Source organism: Homo sapiens, chromosome X, assembly GCF_000001405.40.
Source record: "Homo sapiens chromosome X, GRCh38.p14 Primary Assembly".
Classification (NCBI taxonomy): domain Eukaryota; kingdom Metazoa; phylum Chordata; class Mammalia; order Primates; family Hominidae; genus Homo; species Homo sapiens.
Window position 1 is genome coordinate 68,906,183 of NC_000023.11, and position 23,896 is coordinate 68,930,078.

At 51.8% G+C, this 23,896-nt stretch overlaps 3 annotated features.

The window, feature by feature from the left end:
- Positions 5,902-6,566: an enhancer, noted in NCBI's record as "H3K4me1 hESC enhancer chrX:68131927-68132591 (GRCh37/hg19 assembly coordinates)". NCBI's record gives its function as "activates a minimal SCP1, AML or CMV promoter by ChIP-STARR-seq in naive H9 embryonic stem cells {active_cell/tissue: H9 hESC(naive)}" and the evidence as "EXISTENCE:reporter gene assay evidence [ECO:0000049][PMID:30033119]".
- Positions 6,567-7,231: an enhancer, noted in NCBI's record as "H3K4me1 hESC enhancer chrX:68132592-68133256 (GRCh37/hg19 assembly coordinates)". NCBI's record gives its function as "activates a minimal SCP1, AML or CMV promoter by ChIP-STARR-seq in naive H9 embryonic stem cells {active_cell/tissue: H9 hESC(naive)}" and the evidence as "EXISTENCE:reporter gene assay evidence [ECO:0000049][PMID:30033119]".
- Positions 23,437-23,640: a silencer, noted in NCBI's record as "fragment chrX:68149462-68149665 (GRCh37/hg19 assembly coordinates)". NCBI's record gives its function as "represses an EF-1alpha promoter that drives an FKBP-Casp9 reporter gene in an ReSE screen in HepG2 liver carcinoma cells {active_cell/tissue: HepG2}" and the evidence as "EXISTENCE:reporter gene assay evidence [ECO:0000049][PMID:32094911]".

A 23,896-nucleotide genomic window follows, 5' to 3' on the forward strand; every position in this document is an offset into this window, starting at 1 on the left:
AAATCCAGATTTTGCCACTTCCAGGCTACCAGGCTCTGAGCCAATCAATTTCCCTAGCCAGTCAGTTTCCCTCTGAACCCTGGCTTCCCCATCTGTAAAATAGGGATAGTAGAATCTATTTCATGGTCCTTTTGTGTGGCCTCACTAAGCTAATGGATGTCAGGACTTGACCCACAAGGAGTCCCCTGTGAAGATCATCTATTATTATTGTGAGAATGTCAGGAGGCCCGAGTAAGTTCCTTTTCCTCTCTCTGGCTTCAATTTCTTCATGTGTACTATGGGGGATTGTACCGGATGTTGCTTTTCAGCTCTGATTTTCTTGAGGTCTCTGTGAATAGAGGTAGAAGGAAGGTGGGTGCTATGGACTGAATGTCAATGCCTGCCCCTCCACCCCCGCCGCCCTACCACCAATTCCTACGTTGAAACCCTAATCCCCAGTGTGATGGTATTTGGAGGTGGGCCTTTGGGAGGTGATTAGGTCCTAAGGGTAGAGCCCTCATGGTGGGATTAGTGCCCTTATAAAACATACAAGACAGCTTACTTCTTTACTCTCTGCTCTTTGCCGTGGGAGCACACAATGAGACAACCCTCACCAGACACCGAATCTGTGAGCACCATGATCTTGTACTTCTCAGCTTCTAGAACTGTGAGAAATAAATGTCTGTCATTGAAGTCACCCAGTCTATGGTATTCTGTTACAGCAGCCTCAGTGGACTAAGATTGTGGGTATTAGCCACAGAGGAGCCACAAACTCCTCCTCTGACCTCTTTCTCTATTCAGTGATCAGTCCTTTCCTCCAGCAGACCCCTTTTCCCTGGGGTAGAGGCCCAGATAGACCCTCATCTGGCCTTGACTTGGTGTGGCCTCTGGCCAGAGTGGGGCTAGGCTGAGCTGCACTACTACAGAGAGCACTGCTGTGGTCCTGGGATGCATCCATCAACACCCTGGAGAACATGAGCATCTGATTGTGGCACCTGTGGGGAGAGTCACAGGGAAGGGAAGACCAGGCCCCTGGAGGCTGGGATTGAGCAGAACTGGGCTCACCTCACCCCAGTTCAGAACCAGTTACCCAATTCAGCTTTATAAAGACACAGACAGCATCTAATATGGGGTTCCTGCCAGCTCTCCTCCCATTGCAAGATGGTGAGATGGGGGCTCAGAGAAGGCAAGGCATTTACCTAAGGTCACACAGCTAGTCAATAACACAGCAAGTATTCAAAGGACAACTATAACTCCTCCAGGCAGTGGGGTTGCAATCCTTGATCCCACCTCCCAGGAGATCTTTTCTACTGTAACCCTACCCACTAAGGTCAATCCTTGAGACTGGCTCTCCTCTGGCCTGCAGGAAGAACTCAACCATTGGAGGTGTGGGATGGGGGGCTTGGAAAATACTGAATTCAATTCTTCCCATTGTACAGATGGAGACACTGAGGCCAGGAAGGGAGAAAGGATCAGTCCACACTGCCCGTTTCTTCCATGTCATTGGGTAGGATGCAAAGATTAGTTCTCCTAGCCTCTCTGGAGATTATGGGTAAGTAGATCCAGAAGATACCTGGGATATAAGTTAGAAAGAGGGTGAATATCCTGGCAAGGCTCTGAGCTCATAGAACCTTAGGGTGTCAGAGCAGAAAGAAACCATGAGAAGTCATTCTAAGCCAAAAGTTTGAAGACTATTTTTAGCCACATAAACTGCATAGCTTGACACCTAAGTAGAGAACCCAACTCCCCCATTCTCTTTCAGAGCATCCTCAGACAAACCTGCAGAGAGACCCGGCTGGCTTAACAAAGAGGGAGTGGCTGGCTCAAGGTCTCATAAAGAGGCATCAGTTTGCCCATTTTGGTGTCCTTCCTAGTTTGCACACTGCCCTTCAGTTAGTCCCCAGTGGTCTCCCCACCCCCTGCAGAAATGCAAGCTCTCTGGAACTCGAGCTAACAGTTTCTTTAGTATCTCTACTCACCCCCTGCATGTGTTATGCTAGGGTCTCAGCTCTGTGTTGGTTGTCTGAGTCTGAGTGGACCAAGAGATGGCAGGCAGCGAAGGGGAAGGGCAAAGCAGCTGGCAGAGCCATAGCCCAGGGCCCCGACAGCTGTGGCCATCTGTGTCTAGACACTGGACAAGCTCTACCTCCAATAGCGGTGACGTAGGGCCTTTCCTAGGCAGCCACTGTGTGTCTAGGAGTTGCTCAGAGGACTATGCCCATTGTCTTTAGGCCACAAGATGAAGTAGAAGGGGAGAGGCTGGTCCATCCAGCCCCCATGTCTGGGGCTCACAGACCTTTGTGAAGTCCAGGCAGATGGTGGTGGGAACTGCTGACATTAAAAGCCAAACCTGGGGTGGGGAATTCTACAGCCTCCTGGGTTCACAGGTCCAGGTGGGAAGCTTTTCATTGCTCAACCAACTTTATTCAGCTGCCATTTTTGAGAATTCCTTCTTGGAACCCAGGAGTAGCTAGTCCCCTCTCTCTGGATGATATTAGAGGCAGAAAAGGAGAATAAAGTTAATGAATTGAGCACCTAATATGTGCCAGGTGTTATGCTAGGTGCATCTCTCACATGATTTTATTTAATCCTCAATCCCATGAGGCAGGTGAGATTGTCACCTTTTATAGATGAATTAACCAAAGTTGAGAAAGGTTGAGCATCCTTGTCTGGGACCCCCTTAAGCCCCTCCTTTCCGGTCCCCCCTTAAGCTCTCAGACCCTCCCCCTTTAAGCTCTCAGACCCCTTAAGCTGCATGGAGGAAAGTGGATTGGGAGGTGCAGAAAGGGGCTGGGGGAACAGCAGAAGCAGGCCTGGAGGATGCAGAGTGCCATCCCCAGCCTGAGGAACTGGAACTCCCTGCTTAGCCCCCTGCAGTGGTTGGGAGCAGCTCCAGAGAAACCTTTTGGGAATAGAGAAATTCATTAGCGGATATGCAAGTCCCAAACCGATTAACGATTTATACCATGGGCTCAAACGGCAGGTGGCTTAGGTTTATTATCTGATTTAGCCCAAAGGCCACCCAGTTCCACCCCTCCCTCCTTCTTTCCCTTCTTCCTGCGATCCTCAGACCCACTCAGCCTGACTTGTCCTGAGCCTTTCCTTTAATCCCCGAAGCCTCAGCCAGTTCCCAGGAGGGAACATGCTGGGGATGGTAGTGGAGGGGAATGATGGGTGGCAGGGTGCCAGGATTACCTTCTGAGCAGCAGGTCCATTTTTAAATCCAAGCTTTGTTCATTTCAGGGACCAAAGAGGACTTCATTTCCATTTGGGGGCAGGGTAAAAGGAAAGAGAGTGGGGTACTGCAGCAGGAAGGATGGAGGATCCATATCAAGGGGAACTTCCGGTGTGATCAAGCTTTGATTCCAGGGCCAGTATGAATGCACTGCTCGGCTGTGGGAAAAGGGCTGGGATGGAAATGACACAGGCTGGGCCTGCAGCCAATGGGAACTTCCCTACAGAAGATGCCACTTAAAAGTGTTATTAAACCCTCAGGACTTTTAAAGCAGAGAACAAGGTAACTATGAACACTCTTTAAAGTGATATTGAGAGTTCCCAAGAGAGTTCTGTGTCTTTCTCACTTCCCTCTGCCTTGGGATGCAGACACGTGTCTACCCCAATGTCCCCCTCTCCTCCCCAGCTCCTGCTCTGTCCTCTAGCCTAGTCCCCTACCCATCTTGGGTTCTGAGTCAAGGGGCCAGCATTTATTTCTCAGTTTCTCTGGAGTGAAGACAGATGATGAGCCTGGGTCTATCTGCCTCAGCTGGGTTCTACCATGTGGGGAGTAAGAGGCTATGGTGGGCCTGAGCTCCCATCTCTCATCAGCAGTGTCAGCCCTGGGCTGGGAACGTTCCTAGGTTCCATTAGCTCCAGGCTAGTAGGCAGGAAATTAGGTAGATTGACCCCACCCCTGCAATGCTGAGCTCTGATCTTAGGGATACAGGTGGAAACGTCACTCAGCTAGCCCTTGCCCAGATCTGATGTGACTTCCCTATTTCCCATGGGGCCTCCAGTTCTCCAGGGCAGAAGATTCCAGAGTCCACTTGGATTGCTGCTCCTGTGGGGAGTCCTACCTTCAGGAAGTTATTCCTGGTGTCTGACCTCAAGCCTTACTGGTATAACCAACTCATTTTTTTTTTTCCTATTGTGTCTAAAGAATTGTGAGGGGGAGTTTTCTTGTTTAAGATCAAACTGCGAGTAGAGCTCAGAAGATTGGGAAACACAGGCTGCACTAGGAAGCCTGAAGAGGCTCAGAGTCTGCAGGAGTGGGAGCTGAGGTGACTGGCCCCTCCCTCCTAGCTGCCTTTGAGGTTCCTGTCCCAGCTCCATGAAAAGAGGTCTCATGGGGTGATGGGAAAGGGCTTGGTGCAGCCTCTTCCTAGCTGTGTGACCTTGAATGGAGCTAGTCCTGGAGCCCTGGTCATTTGCCTCCTGGTTCAGGGGTCTGTCACAATCTCTCATGGCAGTGTTAGTTTCACCTGTTAGTCAATTATTCAGCTGAGTGCTGTGTGCCTATCCCAGAACTAGGCACTACTGGGGGTGGGGATGGCACTGCCAGGAATGTGACTCATGTGGCCAGACCCTACCCCTCAGAGGCTCCCAGCCCATTAGCCCTTCCTAGCCTAACCTCCTCCTCAGTAAACAACCTGGGCTGGGGCTGGGGGCTGGGGGTCCTGCCAACCCAACTGAATTAGGTAATTAAAATCTCTCCTCTCCCCCTGACAGATGACCTCTAAGGTCCGTTCCAGCCCTATGATTCTATGATTCCAGCTGGGGGTATCCAATTAACCCTTGTCATGCTTGCCTGGGCTTCGTGGGCTGTGAGGTGGGAGGGTTGGAGACGCAGAGGTCTGGGGAAGGCCCATTCTCAGCACATACCAGGATGCTCCACCTCCTTCTTCCCCTCTTCTCCCCTCCCCACCTCCCTGCCATGCCAGGGTGGTGGTCCTGGAGTTACAGTTGCCAGAGTAAGGACAGGGCTACTGGTGGATTTGGCTCTGGGGTACTGCCTCTCTCCAGCCAGGGCTAAAGGACAAGTGACAGACCAGCTGTGGCTTTGCATAGTATCTGCCTGGCTCTTTGTCAAGGCCCAGGCAGAATATATTTCCCAAGGAAGGCCTTGAAGGACTGAGGCACTGCTAGATGGGAGCTTTGTAAGCAAGACAGGGTGGGAGCAGGATCACTGGTCAGTCAACAGGCCATCAAGAAACCCTGGGTCCTGGACCATGTGTTCCCACTCACCCAATTCTAGTGCACAGCAGCCTCCTTCTGGGGGTACATTCTGTCCATTCTTCAGGGGCATGAAATTTGGGTGAGGGTTGAATTCCAACTCAGGATGGTGGTGGAGTTATATAGACGTGGTGATTGTCAGAGCTGATGTGTGCCTTAGAGACTGCCATAAACAGGCACCTTATGGGCCACTTAAGACCCTCAAAGTGTTTTCTTTGGCTCACACAGTGCCTACATTAATAAGAAATGAGCTGCCATCACTTAAAATTCAGAGTTTGATGTAAAAATTCAGATTTATAACTTCTAAAAAAATCTGAATTTCTAGTAATACCAAGCTCACATTCTCGCAGGGCAACCGACAGCTGGAGCTGAGCGACAGCTGTCTCCTGAGCCAGGGCACATGCTCTTTGCTTCTTCATGATCCCCACCTGCCTGAGTTTGCCCTTCATGTGGCAAATGGGGAAACTGAGGCCCAGAGAGAAAGGCGGGCACTTGCCCAAGGTCACTCAGCCCAGGTCGGGGACAGAGCCAATATTTGAACCCAGGCCTCCTGCCTGCTGGCCAACCCCAGACCCTTTCCCCATCCTCCTCCTCCCCAGACCTCTGCCACGGGGCCACAAGGCTCCTCTGTCAGAACCAGCCCCCTGCGTTCCCAAGGCCTGACAGCCTCTGTGGCCAGCCTTTGTCCAGCCACCTTCCTGTGTAGCCCCTTCAGCCGCCCGGGCCCCAGCCCTGGCCCAGGCCCCCTTCGGGTGAGAGCAGAGGCGCTGCGGGGCCTCTGCAGCCCGGCCCCATCTCCCGCAGCTCGGAACAAGAATCTCATTAAGTGCAGGGGGCGGCTGCCGCCGGGCCTGGGGCGCCCTGACCACAGAGCTGGCTTCCTTCTGCAAACAGCCCAGGCCAGGCCGGGCTAGACCGGGCTCGGGCTGGGCGGGCCTTGTGTGTGCGCACGGAGCGGGCACCGCAGCCGCCCCTCGGCTCCTCCTGCTGCCTCGGGCCTCCTCCCCAGCCCGGCCCTCTGCCGGCCCCATCCCTGCTTGGGTCTCCCTACCGCTCCTCCTGCCCCCCCACCCCTTTATTTCTCTCTCCCTTCCACTCCTTTCCTCTCTCGGCCCGGCTCTGTTTCTGCGGCATTCTGTCTTGGTTTTGTCATCATCTCAAGTGCAGCCCCGTTCTTCTCCGTGGTCTAGTTTCCCATCTCAGCCTCCCAGGCCGGCCTCCTCCCCTCTGTCTCCGTCTTGCTGTCTTGCTGCTCCAGAGGGGTGCCCTCGTAGGCTCTGTCACTCTCCATCTCCGAGCTCCACTCTCTGTGTCTCCTCGCCAGTCTCTCGGCTTTCTGTGTCCCTTGGGTCTCCCTCACTCGGGCTCTCTGGCCTGCTCTGAGTCTGGGTTTCTGAGGCTGCCCCAAGGCACTTCTGCGGAGGTTTGCTGTGCTGGATAAACATGGCCCCAGCAGCAGGACGTGAGGAATTCTGCTGACGGCGCTTTCCTCAGGGGCTGAGGAGGGGCAGTGTGAGCCTGCGGGCAGGGGCCTCAGGGAGAGGGCAGTGTCTTCTCCATGCCTGTGTCCCTGCCTTCTGACCCTCTCAGTCAGCTCAGGGGTGTCTCCCCAGCTGGAAAAAAAGAACAGGCCCCAAGGGGCTGCTCACCTGGCCTCGCCCGCTCCCCAACAATCTCCCCTGACACACACACACACACACACACACACACACACACACACACACGCAGCCGCAGCCGCCGCAGCCGCAGCCGCAGCCGCAGCAGCAGCAGCAGCAGCAGCACACACTTCCCTCTGGTATCTGCAGCCCAGAACCAACTAAATGGAATTCAGTCCTGTGTTTCTCCTGGCCTGGCCTGCCTAGACCTCAAGGGCAGGGTCTCTGGGAAGGGAAACAACCCAGAAGACCTTGAAGCAAAGCATTGGAGGCAAGGACCCGTTAGAGATCATTGCAGCCGTCTCTCTGCTCTCAGATAGCTCCCTGCCCTTTGCCATCATTCCATACTTACAAGCCTTACCCCCTGAGGAAAAGCTTATCCCCTACCCCCTATTTGGAGGCTTTATCCCACTGTCGGTTGGAAGGTTCTTTATTTAAACCGAAATCCTTGTCCTGAGGTTCAGATACACAGAACTTGGGCGTGCCTGGGATGCGCACGGTGTGCGGCACATGTGCGGTGGTGTGAGTGAGGCCGTGTGCCTACACAGAGTGGAGAAGGGGTGGTTTATGTGTGGGTGTGTGATGGGGGCATCAGGTGAGACGAAGGTACAGGGAGCTTAGAGGACAGATGATGGCTCCAGTGGCAGAGAGGCCGAGGGGCAGAAGGCCTGGTATAGTGGGGGAAACTGTGGATGTAAGTGTGAGGAAGGGGACGAAGAAGGAGGAGCCAAATGATGCAAGTCCGGGAGGCTTCCTGAAGAAGAGTCTGGGCCAGATTTGTGGGAAGAGCCTTTCAGACTGAGGAACATCAGGGGCTATGGAGGTGTGTGGAGATGTGAGAGGGTCGCCAATGGTAGGTAGTGGAAACTGCTTCCAGGACAAACATTCCTCTGACACCTACTCCTAGTGTGAACAACTCATCCCAGTTTGCTCAGGACTGTCCCAGTTGTAGCACCGAAAGTCCTGCATCCTGAGAAAAGCCTCAGTCCCAGATAAACCCGGACAGTTGGTTACCCTACCTACCTACTGACCTCCCTACCCACCCTACCTACCAGGCAGTGTGCACCAGATGGTTTCAACCTCACAATAACCCATAGTGGGGCGGGGAGGGGGGGCAGCTATGGTGTATTAGCCCTATTTTACAGATGAGAAAAGGGAAGCCAAGAAAATGTAAATAACTTGTTTTAATGTCACACAGTGAGTTTGAACCCAAGGTCTGTTGTTTCACTGCACTGCATTGGTTTTGTTGTTGTTTTTTGTTATACTAGTCCCTGAAACCTTCAGGGACAAACTTAGTAACCATCCCCCCTCCCGCTCCCCTCCCCCACACACATTCCAACCCCAACCGTTTCAAAGTCCTGACATGAGGCAGTGTCATTTGGACCTACTGCCCAAGTTCCACTGGGCTGCGAATGGGAGTGAGGGTGGGCTAGGGGAAGGGGGGCTTCATCTCTTTTAGCCCAAGGCCTACCAGGGCTTCACTATGGACTGCCACCTGTTGATCTTTTGGCTTCTCCCTCAGCTGGGGGCAGGACCAGCTGCTGGGGGGTGAGGGTGGGAGGCGGAAGCTGGAGGAAGTGCTGACTTGGGGGGTGTCTCTAGGGCCTTGCTGGGTTCCTGGGCTCCAGGTGGTGGGTCTGGGGAGGGCTGGCTCAACATCTGAGAGCAGGCTGGGGGTTGGGCCCCAGGAGTCCCACACTGCTGGTCAGCGCCTCCGGTGTGCTGGGGTGTGAGGAAGCGGCCACAGAGCAAACAAACAGAGCCTGTGAGGATAGGAAGCAATTACGGACCACCCGGCCTAGGCTGCTGAGGAGCTGCGAGTGGGGGGGTAGGCTGAGTCAAGAATAGGCCGCCATCTAGGTGTGGCCTGGGGCAAGGCCAGGAAGTAGAATGAGTAGGCTCTGGGCTGGTGGTGGAGTTCTGGGGAGGTGATAACCAAGTGACCCCCTACCTTGGAGAAAATCTCTCCCATTCAGAAATTACCTTGGTGGGCAGAGGATCCAGAGGCCTAGTCCAGAGGCCTTGGTCTTAGGTCTAGCTGCAGAACTTCTGAGTCTCATCTGGAGCCTGTCCCTTCTGCTCTCTCAGCCTCAGTTTTTCCATCTGTATAATGAAGTGCTTGGAATGAATGATCTCCAACAGTCCCTCCAGGTTTAATAGTCCATAATGCCATAAAGCTGCTGAGACATAAGGATTTATTTTTATTTATTTATTTGTCTTGCTCTGTTGCCCAGGCTGGTGTGTCGTGGCATATCATAGCTTGGCGTGATCATAACTCACCGTGGTCTCAAACTTGCTCAAGCGATCCTACTGCTTCAGCCTTCAGAGTAGCTGGGACTACAGGTGGTCGCCACCATGCCCAGATAGGATTTCTTAGCTTACAAGGATTTATTGAGTATCAGTTGTATGCAGACCCTGGGCTAAATGGTGGGGTTGAGGGAAGGAGTTCAGAAGTTTAAGACTGGTGCTTTTTCCTTGAGGAATAGTACTATCTTTAAAAATGCTACGTATTAAATGTTTACATGGACTGGGAAGTTTATTGAAATGCTTTCATTGAATTTCTTCCTAAATCTGCGAAGTAGGTAGGGAAATTATAATCCCCATTTCACAGATGTAGAAACTAAAACTAAGGGACATTAAGTGACTTGCCTAAGTCTACCTGTTTAGGAAAGAGAGACTCAGGAGTGATTTTTTTTTTGGTCTTTTTTCCCCCTTTTTGTGGAGAACAGGGTCTTACTATATTGCCCAGGAAGGTCTTGAGCTATCCTCCTGCCTCTGCCTCCCTAAGTGCTGGGATTACAGGCTGAAGCCACCGCACCCAGCAGAAGTTTACCTAGATCAGTTTTCCTCCAAAGTCAGTGCTCTGAACCACAGCTCTAATACTGTAGATGATAAACCAGTAACTGCCCACAATATGTATGATGTGTTTTTCTGTTCATTATCCTGTTTCAGTTTCACAATAGACCTGTGGGCCTGGTGGTTCTGTTGCCACTTGACAGATAAGGAGATTGAGGATCAGAGAGTGAAGAGCATGGCTGCCCTCTTTCCAATGCCTGGGGGGCAGCCAAACTCCCCTTTTCCCCGACCCAGTCCTGCCCTGGCTCAGCAGAAAGCCAGTAGAACTCCTGTAGTGCCTGGAAAGTGTCCCACTTTGTCAACCCCCCAGCATGGGGTAAACAGGCAGGCTGGCAGCATTTGGCCCTTTGCTCTGGCCTGGATGTCTGCAGCCTCCCTTTTTCTCCCTTCTCCAAGGGTTTATTGAGCACCTATGATGTTCCAGGCATTGAACTGGGGGGTCTCTGTGCATCATTCCCTTCATCGTCACAGCCACTCTGTGAAATAATTTAAACCCTCTTTTTGCAGACGAGAGAACTGAGGCTCAGGAGCCCCCATGGAGCCCTGGAGCATTCCGGCTTCCTTCCCTCCCCAGGACCCAGTGCAGGGGCTGCAGGGGCCTCGGGAGCCTTTTCCCTTCCAGGACTCCCTTCATGAGCTGCCTGGTGAAGGCTAGATCTTCCTCTCAGCTCCCGGAAGCAAGGGCCAGGTTCAGCCTCTCTCACAGTGCCCTCCTTCCCTCCCCCTCTCCCTCCCAACTCCAGCTCCAGTTTCTGACTTGCGTGGAGCTGGGGCTCTGGCCTGCTCAGGATGAGGCTCCTTTGGGGCCCTAGACTCAACTGCTCTTGTGTCACTGGGGCCTTAGTGTGTAGGTACTGTCATAAGCTTTTTGACCAGAATTACCTCATTTACTCCTCACTACAACATAATGAGGTAGATAGTGTTATTACCACAAGCGTTCCCATTTTCCAGATAAGGAAATTGAGACATGGGGAGGTAAACGGATTGCCCAAGGTCATGCAGCTGGTAAGTGGCAGAGCCTCAATTCACACCCAAGCCTGTGATGCAGAGCTACATGTGAAGGTCCTTAAGTGCCATCCTTAAGAAGCATGGCCTTAACCCGTAGGCAAGAGGAAGTAATTGAGGGGTTTAGCTTAGGAGGGACATAATCTGCTTTGCCTGTGACAGCAATCCTCTGGCAGCGGGGCGAGGAGGGATGCTTAGAGGGGCAGACGAGAGGCAGGGACACTGGTGGGAAGGCTGGGGCAGCGGGAATCCCAGGAGGGATGGTGGTATCCTGGTTGAAGGCAGTGACAGTGGCGGTCAACAGAGGAGGGCAGAGATGGGGAACGTTTTGGATGTGAAGGCTGCTCCTGCTCCTCAGGCTGAGATGTGTGCCCTGGACGTGAGCAGCATTTGTGCTCTATAAAGGATACCCTTTTCTAAATGTTTTGCCTAGAGGGGCACCATATGGACTAGCTGGGCCCCTGACTTTATGGATGACTGCCTGAGACCAAGGTCAGTCTCCAGGAGGTTTGGGCAGACGGAGGGTCCCACACTGACCTCTCCTCTCCTGCTCCCCGCTGTGCCCTGAAGCTCCCTCTGAGGTGGGGCAGATCATGACAATAGGGGAAAATGCAACAGACCTAAGTATGCGTGTGTGTTGGGGGGCATCTAGAAGGCTAGAAATCAAACTGTTACTAATGGCTTCTGCTGGGGAGTGGTATAGGGGATGAAGAGAACTTCACTTTCAGCCACATACACTTAGGCTTTATGGGACTTTTCTTACACAAAACATGTTTAGTTTAAAGAATAATGATAGAAGTATTTTTAAGAGAAGTAAAACCCTAATGCCCAGGGTTGATGTGAATATCAACCTGTCCAGTTGAGATAATGGACAGCTCTTTGTAAACTGAGGGCTTGGAATAACTGATTAGTGATAGTCCCACCCCCTCTAGTGAAAAAGGGAAAGGCAGAATGTCTCTGGGCTGATTGTTACCAGGCTCAGAGCTCCCTGCCTGGGCTGAGCCCTGGGAAGTAGGTGGTCAAACTCAGCTGCCCTGGGCTCCTCAATGGTTGCCCTTATCTCATCAGCCCCCTGGGGCCAGGCAGAGTTTGCACAAAAGGGAGCTTTAGGCCTTTGCTGGGGCCCTGGGAATCAGTGACAAATTGAATGGGATAATAAGTTAATTAAAGCTGTCCCATCTGTGAGGCATCCCAGGGCAGAGGAAAGAGGCTTGGCTAGGGAGCCACACAGGGCACCTAGACTCCTGAGCCACAGACTCTCTGAGGAAACTTAGACCAGTCCCTTCCCCTCTCTGGACCTCGGTTTCCCCATCTATACAATAAGGAGGCTGGCAGACATTGTCTCTTAGGGCCTTGCCAGCACTAATGTTCCAGGGGTCTCTAATTAAAACTGTCCCCTGTGTATTAATCTTCTTGTCAAGTTTTAATTAATGGCTGATGGAGCCAGAGCAGGCACCAGCTGCCACCCCCTGCTGGCAGGCAGGGGGCACCCATAGGACGCTTGACCTGATAATCACTGCTAAGTGGCCTCTATCCTCATATCCCCATACCTCCACTCCAGGCTTCCTCTCATAGGTCAATGCTTTTTTCACTACACTATACCACCTAGGGTTTTATGCTGGTGTGTATGCATGTATGTTTGTGTCTGGTGGTGGTAAAGGGTGTATCCATCATCTCAGCTCTGTGACTAACTAGCTCTGTGATCTTGGTTTATAACTTAACCTCTCTGATCTTCAGTTTCCTCTTCCATCTAATGGGAATAGCATTCGGCTGCAAGTAACAAGAAAAATCAACTCAAAATGGCTTAAACCATAAGCACATTTATTATCCCACAGAATAAGGCCTAAAGAAGGGTTCTTCAATGTTAGTTTATTCAGCATCAAGGACTCCAATTCTTTCATCTTTCTGTTCCACTAGTCTCAACTCTTGGCTTTTGTCCTCAGGTCTGTTCCTTCATGGTCATAAGGTGGCTGCAGCAGCTCCAAGTATCACACTGTAATTCAACAAAATCCAAAGACTGGAAGAAGTATCAACTTTGCCTTGTGTCATGTTTTAAGAAGAAGGCAGCCTTCCCCCAAACATCCCAGCAGCTTCCTGTCCATGCCTCTCATTGGCCAGAATGGTGTTGCATGCCAAGTTGAATCAAACCACATGGCAAGGAGGTTGGAGTTATCATGACTGACTTAGACCAGTATTCTCCACCCTGGCTACAGGGTGGTGGGGGGAGGGGGTTAAAAATACCCATGCCCAGAATGCACTCCCAGACCAATTTAATCTCTAGAGATGTGTCCCGATTACCAGTATTTTTACAAAGCTCTCCAAGTGAGTTCAATATGCAGTCAGAGGTATGAACCACTGACTTAGACTAACCAAGATTCAGCCCCTATAGTCCAGCCTCGCATGTGCTGGCTGTTCAGAGGCAGGTGAACAAAATTGGGGTTCTGATACAAAAGAGGCAGTGGTGATGAATGGTTGTTAGTGACCCAATATCCATACACACCCTTTGTCTGTTATTATCACCAGGAGTGGTGTTTAAATCCATGCAAACGTGTGTCCTCCAGAGAGCTTTCCTATCGGGACTGGCCCTGCCTTTAGACTGTAAGGCTCTGGCTACCCTAAACCGGTTGCTTCCACACCTAGCTACACAGCAGGTTCTCTGGAGATGCTTGTCAAAAAGGATGACTCCTGGGCCCACTTAATGGCTATACAATCAGAATCTTTTAGAATAGAGCTCAAGAACACACAAATGTGCATGTGTGCACATGTACACACACACACACTTGTTAATTCCTCAGAAGATTCTTAAACAGCATATCCATAGAGTGGTGTTTTGGAATGACTGTTCCACATATCTCCCTCATGGGCCTGAAATGGTGCCTGGAAGTTTAGCATTAGGTTCACTTTTCTGAGTTAAGTCATCATCTCTAGTACCACCTCTCCCCCAGCTAACACATGTGGTATTGTTGGTTGTGAAGGACAGATAGCTAGAGACTCACTGAGAGTTGCTTGGCTTTGGTTTCTTTTTTCTTAAAATGAAAGTAATAATGCTCACTTCATCTGTAACTGCAAAGGGCCCAGGAGACAGCTCAAGTGGTTTGTTACCAGAACATGTAGAGGAGATGGTGTGGAAATATCTGTACACTGGAGGTCAGTGTTCTAGTCCTGTCACTGGGTCACCTTGGGCCAACCTTTTCCACTCTCTAAACCCCCAAACCTCCATTTTATAATTTGTGAAATGTGAAGGGTTACATACGTGGGTAGATTTTTTCTGCAGCATTCTTCAGGACAACGAGAATAACCTCTTCCACAGAAGTCATTTATCACTTTAACCCTGCCATTTCTGATGAGTAGGGCAGAAGTCTTCTAAGTTTGGCAGAACGAGAGTAGAGGGAAAAGGCTGCATTGTGGTATTCTTCTCAGGGAAGCAAGGCTAGGGTGGTGGTAGGTGTGCGGGATGAGGTTTAGGGAAGCCTCAGATGAATGGGAGAGATTCCCAAAGACGCATGTCCAGGGTCTCTGAATTTCTACTGGGGTCTTTGGGGCCATTAGCTTCACTCACTGGAGCTTCCAATGTCCCCGCTGCAAAGAAGGCTCCCTCCCTTCCTCCCTCTCTCCTTCAACGACAATCTATTGAACACCTACTACGGGCCAGGCATTGAGGGGTTTGTGAGGCCTGCGGGTCACAGCTCTGGCCCCCGGGCTCTGTATCCCACTCCAGGCCCTGGATCTCCTGTTTCTCCACTTCCCTTAGCTCCACATCTGGCTCCAGGTCAAATGTGGATTTCCTTTCAGCCAGCAGTCCTGAGAGCATCCATCTGTGGAGCCAGAGACAGAGCCAGAGGCAGTCCAACAAGGAGCTCATCCATCAGCTGAGCCCAGGCCGGGGCTGGGAAAGAAGACCGCGGGTGTCAGGCCACCCAGGATGTGGGATGGGGAGGCGAGCTTCTGGATATGCCAAGGAGGTTTGTTCTGGCTGAGACAGTCTGAGGAGTGGCAGGATCCAAGATGGGGAGTGAGGAATCCTGGGTCTAGTCCTCTGAGTACTACTAACGCTTTGTGTGACCTTTAGCCTGTTCCTGCCCCTCTCTGGGCCTCATCTGTAGCATGAAGAGGCTGGATTTGAATCCCAGAGTCATGGAATCTCAGAGTTGGAAGTACCCTTAAAGGCCATCGAGTCCTGGCCCCCAACTGGTGCTTGAATCCCCTGTACAGCTCCCTGCACACATGCACTCTGCTTGCATACCTCCAGTGATGGGAAGCTCCCTTCCTCCAATAACATCCTGTTTTATCTCAGGATAGCTGTCTGTTAGAAATTTCATCTGAAATTGGTCTTCCTGTGGCTTTCTTCAAGGCTGCTACCTAACTCTTCTCCTCTGTTCTGTGCCACACATCTCCCCTGCTCTGTGACAGCCCTTCAGAGGTCTGAATTCAGAGTTCAGCCTTCTCCAGGCCAAAGAGCCCTTTTAGCTCCAACTGTCCTCACAGAGACTGGTCTGTGATCCTTTCGTGTGTGGGGCCCATAATTGGACAAATTCCACCAGGTGGGGTCTTGGAAAGGCTGCAGAGGGCCAGAACATCACCTTGCTCCTTCCAGACACAATAGTTCTTGCAGTTGGACCTAGGGTCCCATTTGGCTTATTACCTATATACAGGATTTCCACTAGCCTGTGAGCTCAGTGAAGGCGAGGCTTTTCTGATTCCTTTCTGTTACCCCAGTGCCTATTCCAGGGCCTTGCTAAGGGTTGGCATCACAACTTGTGTGTTGAGGTAGCTGAGGGCCAAAGGCCTGTGGGTGTGCATGTGCATATGTGCACGTGTGAATGCACCCTGAATGCAGTCTGAATTGGAAGAGTCTGCTGGGCCATGGAGGGATCCAGATTCTCCATAGACATCAGGTAGCTTCCCCCATTCCCCCTTGCCTGCTACATTTGGCACAGTGTGGGGCCTGGTGGCACTGGCGTTCATCAGGGCCCAAGACCCGGAGAGGCTGGTATCTTTGTATATGCAAACTCCCATGACTCCTGGGAGCCCTGTGTGTCCCTCACAGCTCTGTGTGCAAGTCACCAATGTTGTTTATGGCCCTTCGTGTCTGACAGAGGCTGGAGGAGGTGGCTGTGTCCCACCCGTTGGCAAGAATGACCTGGGGATCTGTCAGAGGCATTAGGAAATGACTGTGCCCCGTCAGTTGGCAGGGGTGTTCCTGGCTGGCTGAGGAGGGGGTAGGGTGGTGGCTGAGCTCTGTCACTTGACAGGGGGATTCCCAGCTGTCTGCATGAGGAGGGGGAGTCAGCTGCCCTGGCAGGCAGCTGGGGTATCCTGGCCATGCCTACTCTGACGTGGCTCGTGTGTGTGTATGTGTGTGTGTCCTTTTACCACTCAGCTGTCATTAGCCCCAGTCACCACAAGGGAAGTCAGCCTTACCAGAGCTCAAGGTTATGGGAAGGACACTCCAATTATTCCAAAGTCGTCTGTCTCAGTCCCAGCGGAGTGGATAGCCACTGTCTTCAGGGCTGGCTGGAAGGAGCACATGCCAGGGATGGACAGGACAGATGAAGGGAAGGAGGAGAAGGATCATAAAGGGAACCCAAAAGCCATCTTGAGCAAAGGAGCCAGCAGAGGCCTCTCTAGACCCACAGCCACAGATGGGGTATTTTTGGAGGCAATGCAGTTGCTGGAGTGACAAGGGCAAGGATAAGCTTGGGAGTTGGAGGGCCCTGGATTCTAGTCCCGGTTCTGCTGCTTTCTGGCTGCCTGGCCATTTTCTAATCTGTAAAATGGGGATGTTATGAAAAGCACCAGGTCAGGCCCATGGCACTCACCCAGGAAATGAATGGCTCCTTTATACCTTCCCTTCTTTCTGAGGCTACCCAAGTGAGGCAGGAGGTGGCTGGCAAGGGTAAGAATGGGAATTGCCTTGGGGGAGTCTCTACCAGACTCATCTGGAGCCTGGTCCAGAGTACCTTTTCTCTTGGCTCCTTCCGCTTGACTGGGAAGCAGAGTTGGCATAGAAAAAAGGAAGGGGGCAGAGTCCCTGTGAGTGACTCCTTGGCCAGCTCCAGCTGCCACCTGGAAGTTCCTGGTATTTCCCATCTATGGGATCTTTCTAGAAGACAGGGATTGAAGACACGCCAACTTCACATCCTGAAAGGCTCTTCTTTGCTCCCCTCCCTAGAGGGGAGAATGAGTGTTGGTGCAAATGAGGAAACTGAGGCTCTATCCAGCCATGACTTCTAGGTCATGCAGCTGTGGTACTGACACAGGTTTCAAATCCATCAGACCATACCTACTGTCCCTTTAATCTTCTATATAATCACCCCACCTCCCCCATCCCACCCCCAGCATCTTAAGCCCCAGTGCAATAGACAGACTACTCATGGTTTCCAAAGCACTCTGCATTTTCCTGCCTCCGTGTTTTTACCTCACCCAGCTCCTGGAATGTCCACTCCACCCAGTCCCGCCCCTCCAACTTCCACCCCTTCTCATCTCCTGGGCTTGTGGAAGTCCTTATTCTTCAGAGCTGTGACACCTCTTCTGATTCCTGAAAGCTGAAGGACTTCCTGTGCTCCTAGAGAGTTTTGGTGCTCTCTTGTCTTGTGTCACTAGATGCTGTGTCCACAGAACAAGATGAATCTTGGAGGTGGTTGAGCCAGACCTTCTCAGTGCTCTGAGAAGAAACCTGAGAGAGCCAGAGAGAGGAAAGAGCTTGAATATTCTTCTGTGTTTCTCCCTATCCTTCTGGCCACTGTTTCACAATCTCTTTGCTTGGAGGTCCTCGGAGCTCTAGACCCTCTCCCCTCTTCCCCCCTCCCTTTCTCCTTTCTTTCCTGAGGGAAGTTCATCTCTCTGATCTTGGCCTTAAAATATAGTATTTATTTCCTTTCTTTCTTTCCTTTTTTGGAAACTGTGTCTCACTCTGTCACCCAGGCTGGAGTGAAATGGCAAGATCATAGCTCATTGTAGCTTGGAACTCCCGGCTCAAGTGATCTTCCCACGGCAGTCTCCTGAGTAGCTGGGAGGTATGTACCAACACACCCAGCTAATTTTTGTGTTTTTTTTATAGAGATGGGGTTTTGCCATGTTGCCTAGGATGCTCTTGAACTCCTGAGCTGAAGCAGTCATCCCAACTCAGCCTCCCAAAGTGCTGGGATTACAGGTGTGATCCCCTGTGCCTGGCCAAGGACAATATTTCTAATTGCCTCCAGGTCATCCCCATCACATGCCCTCCCCCACTCACACTCATCTCCAGTTCAATGTGTCCCAATTAAATGTCAGCTGCTACCCTCTTTAAACCTGCTCCTGCTCTTTTCCTTGTGTTCCCTGTGCCACACTACCACATCCTCAACAGAATGCTGGAGTCATCCTCTACACCTCTTTCTCCCCAGTCCTCATCACATCCAATCAATTGCCAAATCCTGCCCATTCTACCTCCAAGGCATGCTGAGTCCACCCTCTTCTCTCTCCAGCTCCACAGCCTCCACCGTGGTCCAGGTCTCATCATCTGTTGCCTGTGGTTGCCTCCTTCCCTCTCCTCCTACTTCCACCCTTGTTCATGGCCACCAGTCCATTTACCACAAGGTAGTCAGAGGGAAGGTTTCACAAGTCAAAGCAGATAATATGACTGCCATGCTCAGCAACCCCAGTGGCTTCTCAGAGGTGGAGAATAAATGTTGAGACACTGCAAGAGCTCCCCTTGCTCCCCTCCTCTCCTGTGTTTTCTCTTCCCTGCCGTATGGAATGTGCCAGGCCTCATCTGCTCCTGAGCTTTGCCCAGGCTGCAGCTTCTGCCTGGAATACTTTTCTCTTCACTCTTCACATGGCCACCTCCTCCTCAGCCTTCAGACCTCAGATTATAGATTACTCTGATGTGTCCTTTTTTTCTTTTTTCTTTTCTTTTTATTTTTTTGTGGGAAACAGTTTGCTCTGTCACCCAGGCTAGAGTACAGTGGCATGATTATAGCTCACTGTAACCTTGAACTTCTGTGCTCAAGTGATCCTCCTGCCTTAGCCTCCCTAGTAGCTGGAACTACAGTTGTGTACCACCATGCCCAGCTAATTTTTATTTTATTTTTTTAAGAGCTAGGGTCTTGCTATGTTGCCTAGGCTAGCCTTGAACTCCCAGCCTCAAGGGATCCTTCCACCTCGGCCTCCCAAATCGCTGGGACTACAGGCATGAGCCACCACGCCCAGCCCCTGATGTGTCTTTTGGGACCCAGCTCCAGTACCACCTCTTCCTACAGGCCTTCCCAGACTTATCCTCTCCTCCAGTCTGGGTTAGGTGCCCCTTCTGTAGGCTCTGATCCTCCTCTACCACTCTCCTCTGCTGCCCTGTCAAGCTCCTATCACAGCATGGTTCATCATGGATTGTAAATACTTAAGCACCTGTTTGCCCCCCTCCCCCCACCCACCCTGACCCTGCCAACCCCTGCAACTAAACTAGGGGCCAGGAAACTACAGCCTGCAGGCCAAATCTGGCCCACTGCCTGTTTTTGTAAATAAAGTTTTATTGGAACATAGTCATGTCTATTCATTTACATGTTGTCTATGACTGCTATCATGCTACAATGGCAGAGTTGAGTAATTGTGGCAGAGACTGTAAAGCCCCAAATAATTATTATCTGGCCTTTAACAGAAAAGATTGCTGACCCTCTGCCCCACAAGGGCAGGGACAGTGTCTGTCAGTTCATTGCTGAACCCTCAGCACCCAACACAATGGCTGGTGGTTGATAGGTGGTCAAAAACAGTTGTCAAATAGTGGGTGAAATATACAAGGTCACAGAGTAAGTCCGATTAGACCCAGAATTCCTGGATCCCCAAGTATGCTCTGACCTTTGATTTCTCAGTTCTGTGTCCCTAGAGACAAGAGTGAGGTCAGATTGCTTGTGTGCTCCCAGCCTTCCCTAGAGCAGGGCCAGGCCCAGAGAGCAAGCTGACTGACTGCCCAGAGGACTAGGCCAGAGAGGAAGGCAGGACAGTGAAGCTGCTCTGAAGGGACTTTCAGTCACCTCAAGGCTGTCCCTAACACTAAGGCAGTGGTTCTCAATCAGAACTGATTTTGCACCCCAGGGGACATTTGACAATTCTTGGAGACATTTTTGCTTGTCACATATTGGGGACAGGAGAGAGGTAGCTGCTAGAGGCATCTGGTGGGTAGAGGCCAGGGTTGCTGCTAAAAATCCTACAGCCTCACACAGCCAAAATGATCTGGCCTAAAATGTCAATAGTGCTGAGGCTGGGAAATCCTGCTATAAAGTGAGGGCCCTCAGACCTGCATGCATATTAAAAACACTGGATGAGTTTTTGAAACTCACCAACATGGCCGGGCATGGTGGCTCACGCCTGTAATCCCTGCACTTTGGGAGGCCGAGGCAGGCGGACCATGAGGTCAGGAGATCAAGACCATCCTGGCTAACATGGTGAAACCCCGTCTCTACTAAAAATACAAAAAAATTAGCCGGGTGTGGTGATGGGTGCCTGTAGTCCCAGCTACTCGGGAGGCTGAGGCAGGAGAATGGCGTGAACCTGGGAGGCGGAGCTTGCAGTGAGCCGAGATTGAGCCACTGCACTCCAGCCTGGGCGACAGAGCGAGACTCCATCTCAAAAAGAAAAAAAGGAAAAAAAGAAAGAAAGAAACTCACCAACACTTGGGCTCTTGCCTAGACCAATTAGAACAGAACCTCTGGGACTGGGGCCTAGGCATCAGCATTTTATAATCTCCCCAGGTGATTCTAATGTGAAGCCAGGGTTGAGAACCTCCTCTCTGGGGGAAGTTTATAAGGACAGACCCTGCAGATATCCCCAAATCACCCAGGATGGTCTTTGCCTGAAATATTTGGCCCCACTGTCAGGCCCTGGGTCATTTCAGCAAATCTGGCTGCTATGCGTGTGGGGTATCTCTGAACACTGAGAGGGGAGAAGAGCCCTTCTCTCCCCTTCCTTTCCCTTGCCCATCTCTGAAGGAGGAGGGGTACTGTTGGAGGAGGAGGGAGGGGACTGGGGAACACAGCTGGGATTCCAATCACCTCCAACCACAAAAATCCATATCAAGCTATCTCTCCCGCTCCTCTCCTTTTCAAACTGGGCTATACAGAAGCACCCTGCTTCCTGGAAGCAGCCCAGAGGCCCCAAGCTGATGCAGAGAGAGGGGCTCAGCAGCATGGATGTTGAGGAGGAGCAGAGGGAGCCCCTGGCTTCCTGAGCTGGCCCTAGTTTGGGGAACATGTATGAATGTCCGGAGCTCTCTGTATCGCTTAAATCCAATCAACCCCTGAACTCAAGCAGGCTCCCAGGCCAGGAAAAGGAAGGTATTGGGCATGTGAGGGGAAGGTTGATTTCTTCACCATGGGACAAACTTTATCTGTCCCTCTAAAATAGCAACTCCTCAGAAGCAGACCCAGCCTGGCTCCCCTGTCCCCTCGCCAAGATGGAGCTGGGATTCCATTCCAGAGTGCGGGCCTGACCCTCCATGGAGAGCCCCACACCAGCCTCTGCTTCTCTCCTGGGCTAGGCAAGCCCCGATCACAGGTAAGGAAATTCCATTCGGCACTGCTCAGCTAGTGAGTGCTGGGAGGAGGGGAGGCCTGAGAAAGCAAGGTCAGATTTTGATGGGATTCTCTGAACACGAAGACTTCCTAAGCCCAGGGGCTGCTGGGAGTGAAGACTGGAGAGGCCACAGCTTGGCCAGAGTCTGATGGTAAAGCTGCAAGGAAGCAGGTAGGCTAGGCCAGATCTGGGCATCAAGGTGGATTCAAGCTGTTGCCAGAGGGACAGAGCAGAGGCAGAAGCGGAATGAAGCTGAGAGGCAGATTCACATGGCATAGTTATCCCTGGCAGGGTTGGGGGGTGGGCAGTACATTAAATTACAGGCAAGCTCCAGAGAGCACCTGACTTGGTGAAGGGAAAGGAAGGGGGTTGGGAAATAGCACGTGGGTAACATTAGAGTCAGACCCTGAAGCATGAGGGAGAAATCAAAGAAGAGAAAATCAGCAAGAGGATGAATGCCCAGAGCTGCATTGCATCTGGGACATGCTGCACCGGGCCTTGTGGATAGAGCACCCAGAGTGAGTAGACCAGACCTGGTGCTGAGGCCAGAGAGGGGAAGATCTGTGTGTTCACCTGGCTGAGAAATGAGACTTTATTCCAAAAGTCATGGGGGAGCTATGGCTGTACTTGAAGTGGGATAAGTGATAGGATGTGATTGGATCTGTATGTGTACATATACAACATTAGCTCCCTTCTTGATTGGAGGCTGGCTTGGGGCATGGGTGGGTCCATGACCTGAAGATGAGGGACCATCTGGAGGCTGTGCAATGGTCTGAGCCCACGAGATTGGTGAAAGAAGGCATAGTAAGTGGTGGAGAGTCACTGTGGAGCTAGACAATTTGAAAGGCAGGGTGAAGAAGACTGCAATTTGGAAACTCACGTCAGAGTTTCATTTGCTTAAAACATTCGAATGGCTCCTGACAGTCTTTGGATAAAGGTTAAACCCCTTCCAATGACCTACAAGGCCCGGGTGCTCTGGTGCCTAGGTATTTCTTCTGCCTCATCTCCAACCGGGCATGACCTCTACCTCCCAATTCTTAGCTTCAGCTCTCTCTCTTTACTGTGACTTCTTTCAGTTGCTCCACTGATCGCTGCAAGACACCTCACCCCCCACCGGCCCCTTACCTCTGGCCTTTGCATCTGCTCTTCTCTCTACCTGGGATACTCCAGCCCTCCCGCTCCCCGAACCCTGAGCCTAACTCAGTGACCCTACATGCTGGGGCTCAGTCAGCTTTCTGGGAGGTGTTCCATGATCCCCACCCCAAGCCAGAATCAGATACTTCTCTTATGGGCTCCCCCAGCCCCTTGTACTACTCTCATCTCAGCCCTTAGTAACCTGCCCAGCGATTTTCTGTTTATTCTTCTGACCAAACTGTAAGCTGAAGGAGGGCAGGGATCACAACTGACTTTCTCATTGCCAACCTCCACTTCCTCGCACAGTGCCTGGCACATGCTCAGTAAATGTGGAAGGCAGGCAGGAAGGCAGGAGGAAAGGAGGGAGGAAGGACGGAAGGGAGGGAGGGAGGAAACCAAGAATGATGCCCAGCTGAAGAATGGTGACATACCTCCTAGAGACAGAGGTTGGAATTTTTTTTCATGGGTCGTGGATGGGTGAGGGAGAGAGGAGTTTTAGTTTAGGCCCTGTTGAGCTAGAAGTATCTGAGGGTTACCCCTGTGGAGGACAGATCGAGTAGGCTGTCAACTCTGTGGGCCTGGAGCTCAGGAGAGCAGTTTAGACGGGAATGGTCTGCCGAGAGGTGAGAGCTAAAGCTGTGGGAATGAATTTGAAACTTGATGTTTTTGATTCCTAAGTAAACAGCCAGCCAAGAGCCAGTATATTTTGAAACACTGGTGGCCAAAGACGTGACAGGAAGAGGTAGAGGGAGGCGGCGGGAGGTGGCGCCCTCCCCCTGTGGGGTCGAGGGGGTTCCCTTCTCTGGAACTGTCCCAGCTGTCACACAGCTCTGCAGGGAGAGAGGGCCTTGGCTGGGACAGGAGTGGGGGCGAGGGGGTGCTGGCTTGGGAAGGAAGACTGGAGAGAATAAAGGTCCTACTGGCATCTCTGTGTTCCCCTCCCCCACCCAGGTGCCCTGAGGCTGCCTGGGTCCTTCCCCCTGCCTAGAGCCTGTGGACCCTGGTTTGCTGTTAGTTTCCCATCTCCATGGACTCAACCAACACCCCCTTCCTCACCACCTCTTCCCTGGCCTAAGGTGGCTCTGTAACTCAATGCTCCTGCTCCTTCCTTAGCTGGGCCCAGGAACCCTGCCAAACATTGTGCTTCCTGGCCTGGAGATGACTCAGGCTCCCCTCCCCAGTACCATTCCAGCCCCTAGCCTCTGAGCCATGTCATAGGCTGAGCAGGGACAGGAGCTGAGGGGCAGCTTGACTCCAGGAGCCAGGGTGCTGGGAAGCGGGCCCAGGCCCCTGCTCCTGATGCCAAGCAGGTAGCATTCCAGTAGAGAGTATAGGGAGAGACAGGGACTGTGGGTATTACAGACAAGGTGTCAGGGCTGGGGATTGCCCAGAGGTCTGACTGGCTAGTGTTCATTAGTACCCTAGGAATAAGTATGTCAATCAGTACTGATTCAGCTGCATGCTCCAGTCTTGTTTGCAGCAGGCCAGGCCTTCTCACG